The 15,345-nt window shown below is 36.6% G+C and overlaps 1 protein-coding gene across 7 annotated transcripts in view; it reads right to left on the reverse strand.

Annotated features, from left to right (window-relative positions):
- Positions 1 to 15,345, reverse strand: part of TEX11 (testis expressed 11) — a 397,485-nt gene that overhangs the window by 84,184 nt on the left and 297,956 nt on the right. For all 7 annotated transcript variants that reach the window (XM_017029649.1, XM_017029650.1, XM_017029651.2 and 4 more), the window contains 4 exons: positions 15,093 to 15,133; positions 13,681 to 13,767; positions 11,549 to 11,619; positions 9,991 to 10,107 (listed from right to left, as the gene is read on the reverse strand). In XM_017029649.1, the coding sequence (XP_016885138.1) occupies positions 9,991 to 10,107; positions 11,549 to 11,619; positions 13,681 to 13,767; positions 15,093 to 15,133 (316 nt within the window). The remainder of the gene's footprint in view (positions 1 to 9,990; positions 10,108 to 11,548; positions 11,620 to 13,680; positions 13,768 to 15,092; positions 15,134 to 15,345) is intronic.

A 15,345-nucleotide genomic window follows, 5' to 3' on the forward strand; every position in this document is an offset into this window, starting at 1 on the left:
TAAAATTCTATAAAGTGATACTATAAGATGTATTGTTGTGTTTGGAGCATATATAGATGTAATGTGTATAACAAAATAGCATAAAAAAAGAGGAGAGAACAGAGTTAATAGGAATAGCATTTCTATATCTCACTGAAATTGGGTTTATAATCTGATGTAGATTCTGATAAATTAAGATCTATATTGTAAGCCCCAGAGTGACCACTAAGAAAATAACTCAAATATTGTGTAAAAATCATTAAAAGAACAAAAATGTTATATTAGAAAACATTCACTTAATGCAAAAGAAAAGAGTAAAGGAGAAAATCAGGAATAAAAAATACATGAGATATATAGAAACCAAAAAGTAAAGTGGCATAAGTAAATTCAACCATAAAAATAGTAACATTAAATGTGAGTGCATTAAACAACCCAATAAAAGACAAAGATTATCATATTGAAACAAAGATGACCCAACTACATTCTGTCTACAAGAGACACATATTAGGTTCAGAGACAAATAAATAGGTTGATTGTGAAAGGATGGAAAAAGTTATGTTATGGAAACATTGACCATAAGAATGTTAGGGTGACACTACTAAAATAAGACAAAAATAGACTCTAAAACAAAAAAAAAATTACTAGGAACAAAGAGGAAAATTTTATAATGTTAAAAGGGCCAATCCATTGGAAATGTATAGCAATTATAAACATATATGACCTAACAACAGAGCCCCAAAAATATAAAGCAAAACTGGGTAGAATTGAAGAAAGAAATAGATACTTCAACTTTTATTAGTTGGAGACTTCAATAGCCCACTTTAAGTAATGAATAGAATAAGTAGGCAGAAAACCATCAAGGATATAGAACACTTGAACAACACTATCAACCTACTAGACCTAATAGCCATAAAACATTTCACTAACCCAAGTAGAATGTACATTCTTCTCAAGCACATATGCATGGCACTTTCTCTAGGATAGCTGACATGCTAGGCCATAACACAAACTTCAAATAAATTTAAAATAATTGAAGTCACAAAGTATGTACTCTGACCACAGTGGAATAAAATTTAAAATCAGCAAGAGAAAACAATTTGGGAAATTCACAAATATGTGAAAATTAAACAACAGATTCCTAAATAATAAATGGGTCAAACAGGAAAACATAATTAAGATTAGAAAATATTTTGAGATGAATGAAAAAAATACAACATACCAAAATGTATGGGATGCAGTTTAATGCAGTTCTTGAAGGGAAATTTATAGCTGCAAAAGTTGATATTAAAAAAAAGAAATATCTCAAATCAGTAACTCCAAGTTTTACCTTAAGAAGCTGTAAAAACAAAGCAAATTGAACTGTAAGCAAGCAGAAGGAAGATTTGAGTGGGAATTAATGAAATAGAGACTAGAAATGCAATAGAAAAAATGAAACCAAAAGTTGTTCTCGAAAAGAACAACAAATTGATATACTTTTGTCTATACTGACCAAGAACAAAAAGAGAGAAGACACAAATAACTAAAATTAGGAGTAAAAGAGGAGGTATCACTACTGACCTTACAAAAATAAAGAGGACTATAAGGGAATACTATGAACAACTGTAAACCAACAAATTCTATAACTTAGATGTAATGGATAAATTTCTAGAAAGATAAACTACTAAAACTGACTCAAGAGGAAATACAAAATCTGAAGAGACTACAAAAAGTAGTGAAAAATTTATAATCTGAAAACCACAAAACATTGTTGAAAGAAGTGAAAAACCTAAATAAATGGAAAGATATTCCATGTTCATGAATCAGAGGCTTTAATATTCTCCCTAAACTGATTTACAGTTTCAATGCAACCCCTATCAAAATCACAGCTGGCTTTTTTGCAGAAATCAACAAGTTGGTCCTAATGGAAATTCCAGGGACCTAGAATAGCCAGAACAATCTTTAAAAAGAAGAACAATGAGGGGGGACTAACACCTCCCTATTTCAAAATGTACTACATAAAGCTATAATTATCAAGGCAATGTGGTATTGCCCTGAGGATAGACATAGATGTCAATGGAATAGAATTGAGAATAAACCTTCTCATTTGTGGTCAAGTGATTTTCAACAATGGCACGAAGATAATTCAAGGGGAAAAAACAGTCTTCAACAAATAGTACTAGGACAAATGGATATTCAAATGCAAAACAATAAAGTTGGACCCCTATCTCACACCATACACAAAAATTAACTCAAAATGGATCACAGATCTACATGTAAGAGCTGAAAATATAAAAAACCTTACAAGAAAACATTGAGGTAAACCTTCATGACTTTGGATTAGAAAATGGTCTTAGATATGATAACAAAATAAATAAAATGGATATCATCAAAATTAAAAATGTATTTCAAAGGGCACTAGCAAGAAATGGAAAAGACAAACCACAGAACAGGAGAAAATAATTGCAAATCATGTATTTGATAAGAGTATAGTATAAAGAATATATAAAGAATTATTACAACTCAGTGGTAAAAAGACAAATAGGCTAATTTAAAATGAGCATGAAGCACTTTGGAAGGCCGAGGTGGGGGGATCAGTTGAGATAAGGAGTTTGAGACCAACCTGGCCAACATGGCAAAACCCTGTCTCTACAAAAATACAAAAATTAGCTGGGCACAGTGGTGTGTGGCTGTAGTCCCAGCTACTTGGGAGGCTGAGGCAGGAGAATCACTTGAACCTGGGAGGCAGAGATTGCAGTGAGCTGAGATCGTGCCACTGCACTCCAGCTTGGGTGACAGAACAAGACTCCATCTCTAAATAAATAGATAAATGCAAAAAGATTTCAATAGATATTTTCCAAAGAAGATATACAAATGGCCAATAAACACACGAAAAGATTCTCAACATCATTAGTCATAATGGAAATGCACATCAAAACCACAATGAGGTATCAATTTATATTCACTAGGACGGCTATAATTAAAAAGATATAATAACAAGTGGTGGCAAGGAGGTGGAGAAATTGGAATCCTCATTCAGTCCTGGTTGGAATGTAAAATGGTGCAGGTGCTTTGAAAAACTCCAGCATTCCTCAAATGATGAAACATAGAGTTACTGTATGACCCAGCAATACCAATCCTAGGTATATTTCATATTGAAAGAAATGAAAACAGATTTCCATGCAAAAATTTGTACATAAATTGTTCATCACGGCATTATTCACAAGAGCTGAAAATTGGAAACAACCCAAATGTCCATCAATGGATGAATGGATTTTAAAAATGTGATATATTTATACAATGGAATATAATTCAGCCATAAAAAGAAATGAAACACTGATACATGCTACAACACAAAGAACCTTGAAAATGTTATTCAGGCATTTATACAAGGAGCCAGTCAGAAAAGACTACACATCAAAAAACATTTGACTTTCGTGTAAAATATGATGATGATGACATTTATACGAAATATCTGGAATAGGCAAGCCTATATAGACAGAAAGTACATGGTTGCTTAGTGCTGGTGGCAGGCAATGAGAAGTGATTGCTAAGTGGGTAAGGGGTTTCTTTTTAGGGTGATAAAAATGTTCTAAAATTAGATTGTATCAACAGTTGCACAATTCTAAGAATATTCTAAAAACCAATAAATTGTATACCTAAGTGGGTGAATTATAAGGTATGTGAATTATGCCTCAATAAGTCTGTTAAAATATAATCAAGGATAGGGATCAGGACACTTTTTGTACAAAAGGCCAGACAGTAAATATTTTAGGCTTTCCTAGCCATATACAAATAAAAGAAAAGAAATAAAGAAAATAAAGAAATAAATAAATAAAATAAAGAAATATTTTTCTTTATTTTCTTTATTTTCAACTACAACCCCCCAGGGGCCTGATTTGGCCAGCTGGCAGTAGTTTACCCACTCCTGCTCTAGGAAGAAGGTGTGGTTCCTTGACAAATTACAATTAGAATATGTTTTTTACCTATCCCTCAATTTCTCCTAACTCATACTCAGAAGGGTAGAGGCAATGTTGATAAAACTATGCAGTCCATCTATATTCCTTCATCAGCTACTTATTTGGAAATATTCCCACTTATGAGGGTTTAGAGAACAGGGAGCAGATGTATACAACAGAAATCAACAAGTATTCTTTTTTTTTTATTATTATACTTTAAGTTTTAGGGTACATGTGCACATTGTGCAGGTTAGTTACATATGTATACATGTGCCATGCTGGTGCGCTGCACCCACTAACTCGTCATCTAGCATTAGGTATACCTCTCAATGCTATCCCTCCCCCTCCCCCCACCCCACAACAGTCCCCAGAGTGTGATGTTCCCCTTCCTGTGTCCATGTGATCTCATTGTTCAATACCCACCTATGAGTGAGAATATGCGGTGTTTGGTTTTCTGTTCTTGCGATAGTTTACTGAGAATGATGATTTCCAATTTCATCCATGTCCCTACAAAGGACATGAACTCATCATTTTTTATGGCTGCATAGTATTCCATGGTGTATATGTGCCACATTTTCTTAATCCAGTCTATCATTGTTGGACATTTGGGTTGGTTCCTAGCCTTTGCTATTGTGAATAATGCCTCAATAAACATACGTGTGCATGTGTATTTATAGCAGCATGATTTATAGTCCTTTGGGTATATACCCAGTAATGGGATTGCTGGGTCAAATGGTATTTCTAGTTCTAGATCCCTGAGGAATTGCCACACTGACTTCCACAATGGTTGAACTAGTTTACAGTCCAACCAACAGTGTAAAAGTGTTCCTATTTCTCCACATCCTCTCCAGCACCTGTTGTTTCCTGACTTTTTAACGATTGCCATTCTAACTGGTGTGAGATGGTATGTCATTGTGGTTTTGATTTGCATTTCTCTGATGGCCAGTGATGATGAACATTTTTTCGTGTGTTTTTTGGCTGCATAAATGTCTTCGTATTGGATATATATGCACCCAATACAGGAGCACCCAGATTCATAAAGCAAGTCCTGAGTGACCTACAAAGAGACTTAGACTCCCACACATTAATAATGGGAGACTTTAACTTCCCACCATCAACATTAGACAGATCAATGAGACAGAATGTCAATAAGGATACCCAGGAATTGAACTCAGCTTTGCACCAAGAGGACCTAATAGACATCTACAGAACTCTCCACCCCAAATCAACAGAATATACATTCTTTTCAGCACCACACCACACCTATTCCAAAATTGACCACATACTTGGAAGTAAAGCTCTCCTCAGCAAATGTAAAAGAACACAAATTATAACAAACTATCTCTCAGACCACAGTGCAATCAAACTAGAACTCAGGATTAAGAATCTCACTCAAAACCGCTCAACTACATGGAAACTGAACAACCTGCTCCTGAATGACTACTAGGTACATAACGAAATGAAGGCAGAAATAAAGATGTTCTTTGAAACCAACGAGAACAAAGACACAACATACCAGAATCTCTGGGACGCATTCAAAGCAGTGTGTAGAGGGAAATTTATAGCACTAAATGCCCACAAGAGAAAGCAGGAAAGATCCAAAATTGACACCCTAACATCACAATTAAAAGAACTAGAAAAGCAAGAGCAAACACATTCAAAAGCTAGCAGAAGGCAAGAAATAACTAAAATCAGAGCAGAACTGAAGGAAATAGAGACACAAAAAACCCTTCAAAAAATTAATGAATCCAGGAGCTGGTTTTTTGAAAGGATCAACAAAATTGATAGACCACTAGCAAGACTAATAAAGAAAAAAAGAGAGAAGAATCAAATAGATGCAATAAAAAATGATAAAGGGGATATCACCACCGATCCCACAGAAATACAAACTACCATCAGAGAATACTACAAACACCTCTACGCAAATAAACTAGAAAATCTAGAAGAAATGGATAAATTCCTTGACACATACACTCTCCCAAGACTAAACCAGGAAGAAGTTGAATCTCTGAATAGACCAATAACAGGATCTGAAATTGTGGCAATAATCAATAGCTTACCAACCAAAAAGAGTCCAGGACCAGATGGATTCACAGCCGAATTCTACCAGAGGTACAAGGAGGAACTGGTACCATACCTTCTGAAACTATTCCAATCAATAGAAAAAGAGGGAATCCTCCCTAACTCATTTTATGAGGCCAGCATCATTCTTTTTTTTTTTTTTTTTTTTTATTGATCATTCTTGGGTGTTTCTCGCAGAGGGGGATTTGGCAGGGTCATAGGACAATAGTGGAGGGAAGGTCAGCAGATAAACAAGTGAACAAAGGTCTCTGGTTTTCCTAGGCAGAGGACCCTGCGGCCTTCTGCAGTGTTTGTGTCCCTGGGTACTTAAGATTAGGGAGTGGTGATGACTCTTAACGAGCATGCTGCCTTCAAGCATCTGTTTAACAAAGCACATCTTGCACCGCCCTTAATCCATTTAACCCTGAGTGGACACAGCACATGTTTCAGAGAGCACAGGGTTGGGGATAAGGTCACAGATCAACAGGATCCCAAGGCAGAAGAATTTCTCTTAGTACAGAACAAAATGAAAAGTCTCCCATGTCCACTTCTATCCACACAGACCCGGCAACCATCCGATTTCTCAATTTTTTCCCCACCCTTCCCGCCTTTCTATTCCACAAAACCGCCATTGTCATCATGGCCCATCCCCAATGAGCCGCTGGGCACACCTCCCAGATGGGGTCCTGGCCGGGCAGAGGGGCTCCTCACTTCCCAGTAGGGGCGGCCGGGCAGAAGCGCCCCTCACCTCCTGGATAGGGCGGCTGGCCGGGCGGGGGGCTGACCCCCCCACCTCCCTCCCGGATGGGGCGGCTGGAGGCCAGCATCATTCTGATACCAAAGCCGGGCAGAGACACAACCAAAAAAGAGAATTTTAGACCAATATCCTTGATGAACATTGATGCAAAAATCCTCAATATAATACTGGCAAACCAAATCCAGCAGCACATCAAAAAGCTTATCCACCATGATCAAGTGGGCTTCATCCCTGGGATGCAAGGCTGGTTCAATATACGCAAATCAATAAATGTAATCCAGCATATAAACAGAGCCAAAGACAAAAACCACATGATTATCTCAATAGATGCAGAAAAGGCCTTTGACAAAATTCAACAACCCTTCATGCTAAAAACTCTCAATAAATTAGGTATTGATGGGATGTATTTCAAAATAATAAGAGCTATCTATGACAAACCCACAGCCAATATCATACTGAATGGGCAAACACTGGAAGCATTCCCTTTGAAAACTGGCACAAGACAGGGATGCCCTCTCTCACCACTCCTATTCAACATAGTGTTGGAAGTTCTGGCCACGGCAATTAGGCAGGAGAAGGAAATAAAGGGTATCCAATTAGGAAAAGAGGAAGTCAAATTGTCCCTGTTTGCAGATGACATGATTGTATATCTAGAAAACCCCATTGTCTCAGCCCAAAATCTCCTTAAGCTGATAAGCAACTTCAGCAAAGTCTCAGGATACAAAATCAATGTACAAAAATCAGAAGCATTCTTATACACCAATAACAGACAAACAGAGAGCCAAATCATGAGAGAACTCCCATTCACAATTGCTTCAAAGAGAATAAAATACCTAGGAATCCAACTTACAAGGGATATGAAGGACCTCTTCAAGGAGAACTACAAACCACTGCTCAAGGAAATAAAAGAGGATACAAACAAATGGAAGAACATTCCATGCTCATGGGTAGGAAGAATCAATATCGTGAAAATGGCCATACTGCCCAAGGTAATTTATAGATTCAATGCCATCCCCATCAAGCTACCAATGACTTTCTTCACAGAATTGGAAAAAACTACTTTAAAGTTCATATGGAACCAAAAAGGAGCCCGCATCGCCAAGTCAATCCTAAGCCAAAAGAACAAAGCTGGAGGCATCACACTACCTGACTTCAAACTATACTACAAGGCTACAGTAACCAAAACAGCATGGTACTGGTACCAAAACAGAGATATAGATCAATGGAACAGAACAGAGCCCTCAGAAATAACGCCGCATATCTACAACTCTCTGATCTTTGACAAACCTGAGAAAAACAAGCAATGGGGAAAGGATTCCCTATTTAATAAACGGTGCTGGGAAAACTGGCTAGCCATATGTAGAAAGCTGAAACTGGATCCCTTCCTTACACCTTATACAAAAATCAATTCAAGATGGATTAAAGACTTAAACATTCGACCTAAAACCATAAAAACCCTAAAGGAAACCTAGGCATTACCATTCAGGACATAGGCATGGGCAAGGACTTCATGTCTAAAACACCAAAAGCAGTGGCAACCAAAGCCAAAATTGACAAATGGGATCTAATTAAACTAAAGAGCTTCTGCACAGCAAAAGAAACTACCATCAGAGTGAACAGGCAACCTACAACATGGGAGAAAATTTTCGCAACCTACTCATCTGACAAAGGGCTAATATCCAGAATCTACAAGGAACTCCAACAAATTTACAAGAAAAAAACAAACAACCCCATCAAAAAGTGGGCGAAGGACATGAACAAGTATTCTTTAGAGAGACAGAGTACCACTGTCCGATTCATAGGGACCACACTTAGATGATAAAAGGCAGAAGTGCATCTTCAATTATGTATATAGACATCCTTTCAAAAGCAAAGAAGATTATAGAAAGGTTACTAGTTTAGAGAGTTCTGAGAAAACACAGAGGTGTACATGAGAAAGAACACAGAATAAAAAAGAACGGTAGTTAGAAACAAACAAAATAATGATTGTACTTAAGAGTTTGTGAAATTTCCCCCACATCAATTTGATCTCTATTCACTAAGATAAAAAATTAAACAAACTCAGGATTACCAACCAAAAAGGAAAAACTTTTAGAAATTTAAAAGCACTATATAAAAATAAGATGTTATTATTATTTTTTAGTAAAGCAAAAGTCCCTATTGAGAATTAAATTACATTTACCTTTGCCTGTTAAGTAGAATTTTTGTTTGTTTATTTTGCTCTGGGGAAGGTAGAGTCTTTTCTCATCTTCTTTTAAAATAAAAAGACTCTTAAAAGAGGGCCCCCTTTACTCCTCAGAGGCAAGGACTTTGGCTTCTTTATCTCTGTATCCCCAGTACCTAGAAAAGTGTCTGGTGCTCAAATGTTTTTTGAGTTGAACTCAACAATGGAAGGGAAAAGAAGCGAAATAGTTGGCATAGCTCTGGTGAGAGTTTGTTTCAGATCCAAAGAACAATATGAAATAAGAGATTAACAGGAGGAAGAGAATAAACAGCAAAGGGTTTATATTACTTGGAGAGGAGGGAAGGTGACAAGTATGGGAGATTAGGAAGTTTTCTTTGTCCAGGTACGAGAAACCAAGCAGAGAGATCTAGATCTTAAAAATCATACAAAAATGCTATTGGTCTGATTTGGAGACAATTTTCTTAGATTGAAAGAAGAAAGGTAAACAGCTAAAAGCAAACCAATAATCTGGTGTATGGGAGACGGTGATATTGATAGCTCCTAAAAGGGGTAACATTTAAGAATCTGATAGGGGAATTCAGGCAAAGGTAAGGAATTCTGTCTTGTAGAAATTAAGTTAATGAGATATTTAAGGATGTGGGAAAAAGAAAGCAAATGCAATTGAGAGAAGAAAAACCAGATAAGTAATAATTTCAGATGGCTATCAAAGCTATGGAAACAGATGAGTTCTTCCTTAGAAGATGTGGTAAGAAACAAAAGTGGAGTCCAAACGCGTATATAATCACAGGCAGACAATGAAGATAAAAGATATTTAAAAACATTTTTGGAAAGAGTGGTCCATAGGAAGGGGAATTTTAAAAGAAGAGATATCTAATCTTCTTAAAAGAAGAGGCCACACCAAAAGTAACCTTTGCTTAGGAAGGAATTAGCCATTACAAACTTTTGAAATCAAGACGATGCTGGAGTGGAGAAAAGGATTCTCTAAAGAGAATCAAAAAGAACTGCATCAGGGAAGGCAAACATATCAAATAGCACACTGAACTCTTGTCTTTTCTTTGAAGGTTGCACATTACCTGTTCAAAAGCTGTTGAAGCTTTTCTCCCTTGCTCTAGATCAACTGCAACTGCCATAAGTAAACATGTTTTCCGTGCAATCAGAATTACTTGATCAGAAGGACAAAACTGGGACATCTGATAAGAAGTAACCAGAACATCAATGAATAGTGAGAATTCTGCCAGGTGAACACAAACAATCAGAATGAAAATCAGCAACTTCCTGTTTGAATGAGAAAATTCAGCTGGAAAAGCACATGTCACCATAGAAATGATATAAACTATAATACTGATTTATGCTTTTAATTTTATATTACTTTCCATTGTTTTTAGTACCTTCCTAGAGATAAAAAGCTTCATTTCTTCACAGTATTCCTATCTTTTCCAGTGACAAGTAGTATCATTCGCCCTTGTATTTCTATCTAGTGATTTACTTCTTGGTTTATGTTGTAATTTGTAAGTGATTTTTCCCCTGGCAAATAAGATTTCCACCTTTGTATTGAATAGAGCCAAAATTAGTTCATATATTGTCATGGTTGAAAGAGGCATTGTCAAATCTTGACAGGCATTAGTCATGACCTCATCATTAACATTGTATAGTTTTAGGAAAAACTCCCAGCTACTACAATAAAACTCTAGGCCATTTGGATTCTTACACGCCAATCCTACAAGTCCCATCACAAATGCCAAAACTAAAACCAATTTATTTCACTTAATTAAAATGGCAGTTATGCCTAAACTTGCAAAGACTATTTCTTAATCTCCCCAAACATTCAGTGATCATAATCATCATTGTTATTAAATTAATAGCATTTTAAGACAACCAATCTCTTTAGGTCTCTGATTACTCTTATGTGAGATGAAGGAGTTGTGCTAGATAGTCTTTATAGTTCTTTCTAGCTCTAAAACTCTTAACATTTAATTGATCTCAACATATCATACTGTGTATTCCTGAATGTGTATGAAGGATATTCTTTAGTCCTTCTCCTTTTATCTTCCTGTCAATACTTGGTCCTCTTTCTGGCATTTAACCTCTACCTTGGAGGCCAACGACTATTTAAAAATGCTTATAATTAAATAACAAACTCACAAATCGCTACACTCAGGACCTGCTATAGGAAAGTTATAAAGGAGGCCTAAGCTTCTTATCTCTTTTTTCAGCCCCTGCTATCCCCAGATACTTATTCTATGTTCTTGTAGACTTATTCCCATAACTCTTCATAATGTGTTGGTAATTAACAACTACTTAGAGTATTCCCCTCCTAAAGATATTTACATTTTAATATAGGACTTTGGGAGGCTGAGATCCCTTCAAAGGCAAAGAAATAAGTCTTAAATGGTAGAACTTTAGGCTCCCTGATGAATGTTTCTGATATTTTGGTATAGAAAGATATGCCCCACATTCTTATGTTATACCCTAAAAGGAACAAATTCTTCTTAGGTCATTCCTGCTTACATATATATTAAAAGTTCCTAGATCAAGAGACAATCCTAGTCTATATTTAGCCCTTTACTATAGCCATAGTGGTTATAGCCTTGTTGTGGTCCATACATGAGATACTTATTAAAAGAAACTTACCTTATAAGAAAGTATAAAAAACTCTCTCATCATCACTGGATCTTTGTCACATTGCACAGCCAAGTTCCAAGCTGGAAATTAACATGAAATAACATAATAATATGAAATTATGAAAATCTACCATTTAGTCTGTACCATTACAATTTCTGATACTTACACCTTTGATATTAACATACTAGTAAGGGGTTTCTCAAGGTTTAAACAATTAACTTTAGGTTTTAAAGAAAAATTTTCCAGGTAAATTTAGAGACCCTCGTCAATTCCAATCTTCAACACTAGACCAATGACCAAGGGAGGTACTGCTGAATTTTTTAAAATTGGGGACATGCAATAAGAATTCTTAGCTGAGGCCAGGCTTGGTGGCTCATTCCTATAATCCCAGAACTTTGGGAGACCAAGGCAGGAGGATTGCTGGAGGCCAGGAGTTCAGGACCAGCCTGGGCAACAGAGAGAGACTCCGTCTATACAAAAAAATTAAAAAACAAACCAAAACAAAACAAAACTAGCCAGGTGTGGTGGCACACAACTATAGTCCCAGAAGACTGACACCAGGAATTTGAGGTTACAGTGAGCTATGATGCCACCACTGCACTCCAGTCTGGCAGCAAAACTCCGTCTCAAAAAAAAAAAAAATTCTTAATTGACACTAATCTATCTAAAAATGAAGATCAACATGGATAGAGCTCACTAACTCGCAGTGGTGAAAGTAAGTTAAAATTCACCTAAGAACAAGGTACACTGTAATCAAGAGTTGAGAAAAATTACTGGAGAGATTCATATCTTCCAAAGAGCAGTAGAAGCCCTCATCAGGCATCAGTCAGCATCATCTTCCCCTTGGAAAATCCAAATTAAAATGCAGTAAAGTAAAAACATTCCTTTTCAAACCTTCAAAAGATTAAAGTCACCAAACTTGTCTATATTTTAAATGTTTGTTATTTTTCATTATTTGCATCAGTTTCTTAGAAGTCAGATTGCAGTATTCATTCCCTTTCTCCCAGGATTAAAGCCCTATTAAACCTCATAACACAGGGAGAGGTTCATGTAGAATCAGTCCACTTTGTGGCACTGCTGCTTAATTGCTCATGCTTACTTATCACTGTAGTAACTGCCTCCGCAAGTTTTAAAATCATTTTTATTGAAATAGAGCCATTATAAAGTATATTACACAACTCATAATTGTACAGCTTGATGAATTTTCACAAAGTGGACATATCCATGCGTCTGGCACCCACATTAAGAAAGATCTTGAACATTACCAGAAACCCTGAAGCTCCTACAACTTTCAAGTCCAACTCCTTTTCCAGGGTAACCATTATCCTGACTTATAACACCATATATTAGTTTTGCCCATTTAAAAAATTATAAATAAAATGAACAACACAATATGTATTCTTCAATATCTAGCTTCTTTTGCTCAACATTATGTTTGTGAGATTCATCCATATTGTTGTATATAGTTCATTTTTGGTCAATCACACTCAGAAATAAATTAAGTATTCTAGGCCAGGCACGGTGGCTTACGCCTGTAATCCTAGCACTTTGGGAGGCCGAGGCAGGTGGATCACGAGGTCAGGAGATCGAGACCATCCTGGCTAACACGGTGAAACCCCATCTCTACTAAAAATACAAAAAATTAGCCGGGCGTGGTGGCGGGTGCCTGTAGTCCCAGCTACTAGGGAGGCTGAGGCAGGAGAATGGTGTGAACCCGGGAGGCGGAGCTGGCAGTGAGCTGAGATCAAGCCACTGCACTCCAGCCTGGGCGACAGAGCGAGACTCCATCTCAAAAAAAAAAAAAAAAAAATTAAGTATTCTAAACCAAGTTTAGGAGCACAACCTTGAGGACCTGTAGTTACAGTTCATTAGTTTCATCTTAGACCCATTTCTATAGAAAAGGGACACAACTAATGTCCATTGAGTATCTACTATGAAAAAAGTATATATGCTGTTTCATTTAAAACCCTTAATAACTGCATGAAGTATATATAACTATTTCCATTTTATAAGTAATAAAACAGATTAAGCAAGTTATCTCTGTACCCACAGCTACAAATGAAAGATCCAGAATTTGAAATCACATCTGTCTAATTCCACCACCCCACAATGTTTCCCAGAGCCACAGAATTTCCTCTTACCTGTTTTTCGAAACCACTGAGCTTCATTAGCTCTTGACTCCAAACTTAAGGCTTCTTCACCAAAAGGCTGAGAAAGTTTCACAAAGGCTGCATCAAACAGGAAAATTTGATACTGATGGTCTTATTTTATACTCTAGCAAAATTGTTTAATCCTGCTTTAAGAACAGTCTCACAGGAGTTTGAATTTAGAAAGTTCTTTTTTGTGTATGTGTGTAGGGGTGCATACCAAAAGTAATTAAAATGACAGAAAGCATTACCAAGTTCCAAGAAGTTGTTAACTCAAACTCTGGGGAACAAACATGTCTTTGGAGAGATTTATAATTTTAATTAGTGCAATCATTCACCACCTGAGGTAGAAAGATATGATTTACATGTGAGGAAATAAAAAATAGAAACAATCGTTTAAAAGACTGAACTGGAGATTGAAAATTAGAAGGGTATCAATATGCTGGCATAATATTTACTGAGCCAGCAAGCTCAGGACAGAACCAGAATGTGCTATCACTATCAGAAGGCATTCTCTTTCTGAGAAATAAGAATGCCAACCAGCAAAGTTTTTCTCTTTTGAAAAGAAGTGGTCTGGTTTCTAAACCACTTTGCTATGTTTAACACCCTGCTGACAGGTATTTGAGGTATAAAATTGAACTACTGCACTGAGCAGGATAGAATTTCTAAGATATGAACTTTTTGGTGTGTTTTGGACATAAGGAAAGAGGTACATGGACAGTAAAAATGGGAGATCTGTTAAAAGGGATGCCATGTAAAAAAGCATGTAGTTAGAAAAAAAATGTGATACAACTAGGAGATTAGCTTGAATAAAGTGGACAGGGAAAAATTATTAGTAGATAAGGGAGATGGCACAGACTTGGGTGGACAGCTTCAAAATAAGAGAATATGCAACCTGAATTTGATTCAGAGGGTATGAAAAAAACAGCAGGGTTCAGAGTATTTTTATTTGTCTTGATCTTTTTTCACCTGTTCAATTCTTAGGTTAGGATCAAGTGGCTACTAGAAAAGAAAGGTAGAGGGACAGGGAGGGAGAGAAGGGAGGAAGGGAGAGAAGGAAAGGAAAGGAGGGAGGGAAGGGGGAAGGAGAGAAAGAAGGAAGGAAGGAAGGAAGAGAGGGAGGGAGGGAGGGAGGGACGGGAGGGAGGGAGGGAAGGAAATGTCCTTAAAACAAATAGGAATTAAAACAGAACTGAAATCACATTTGGAGATGAATGCTAATGATGACACACTTTTCTCTGCTTGTGAATGAAGAAACCAAAATAGATTCCTGTGGCAAAGATTAATAAGGAGCATGAAGCTTAACTCAAACATAAGGTTAAAGTTGCTGTGCTTAGTGTACTTGGAGAATTCAACAGAGAATAGAGGCAAGATGAAGGACTGAATATAACCAGGGAGATATTTACCTCTATTCAGGCAAGTCAAAAGTCGATCCATTTCTTTCTTCCTAAAAATAAAGAAAAGGATATTTTCCAACTGCTCCAAATCTTTACTATAAAACATAACTAAAAAGGGACACTATTTGTGCCTGAGAATTGAACTAAGAAAATGCAAAATTGTGAAGTTTTTTGCTCAGGACTCCAATCTACCATTTCAACAATCTTCTTCCCCACTGTAGGATACAGTTACTCATTCCCAGTGCCCTCATATTTTTTCTCT

Source organism: Homo sapiens, chromosome X (genome assembly GCF_000001405.40).
Source record: "Homo sapiens chromosome X, GRCh38.p14 Primary Assembly".
NCBI classification, from domain to species: Eukaryota; Metazoa; Chordata; class Mammalia; order Primates; family Hominidae; genus Homo; species Homo sapiens.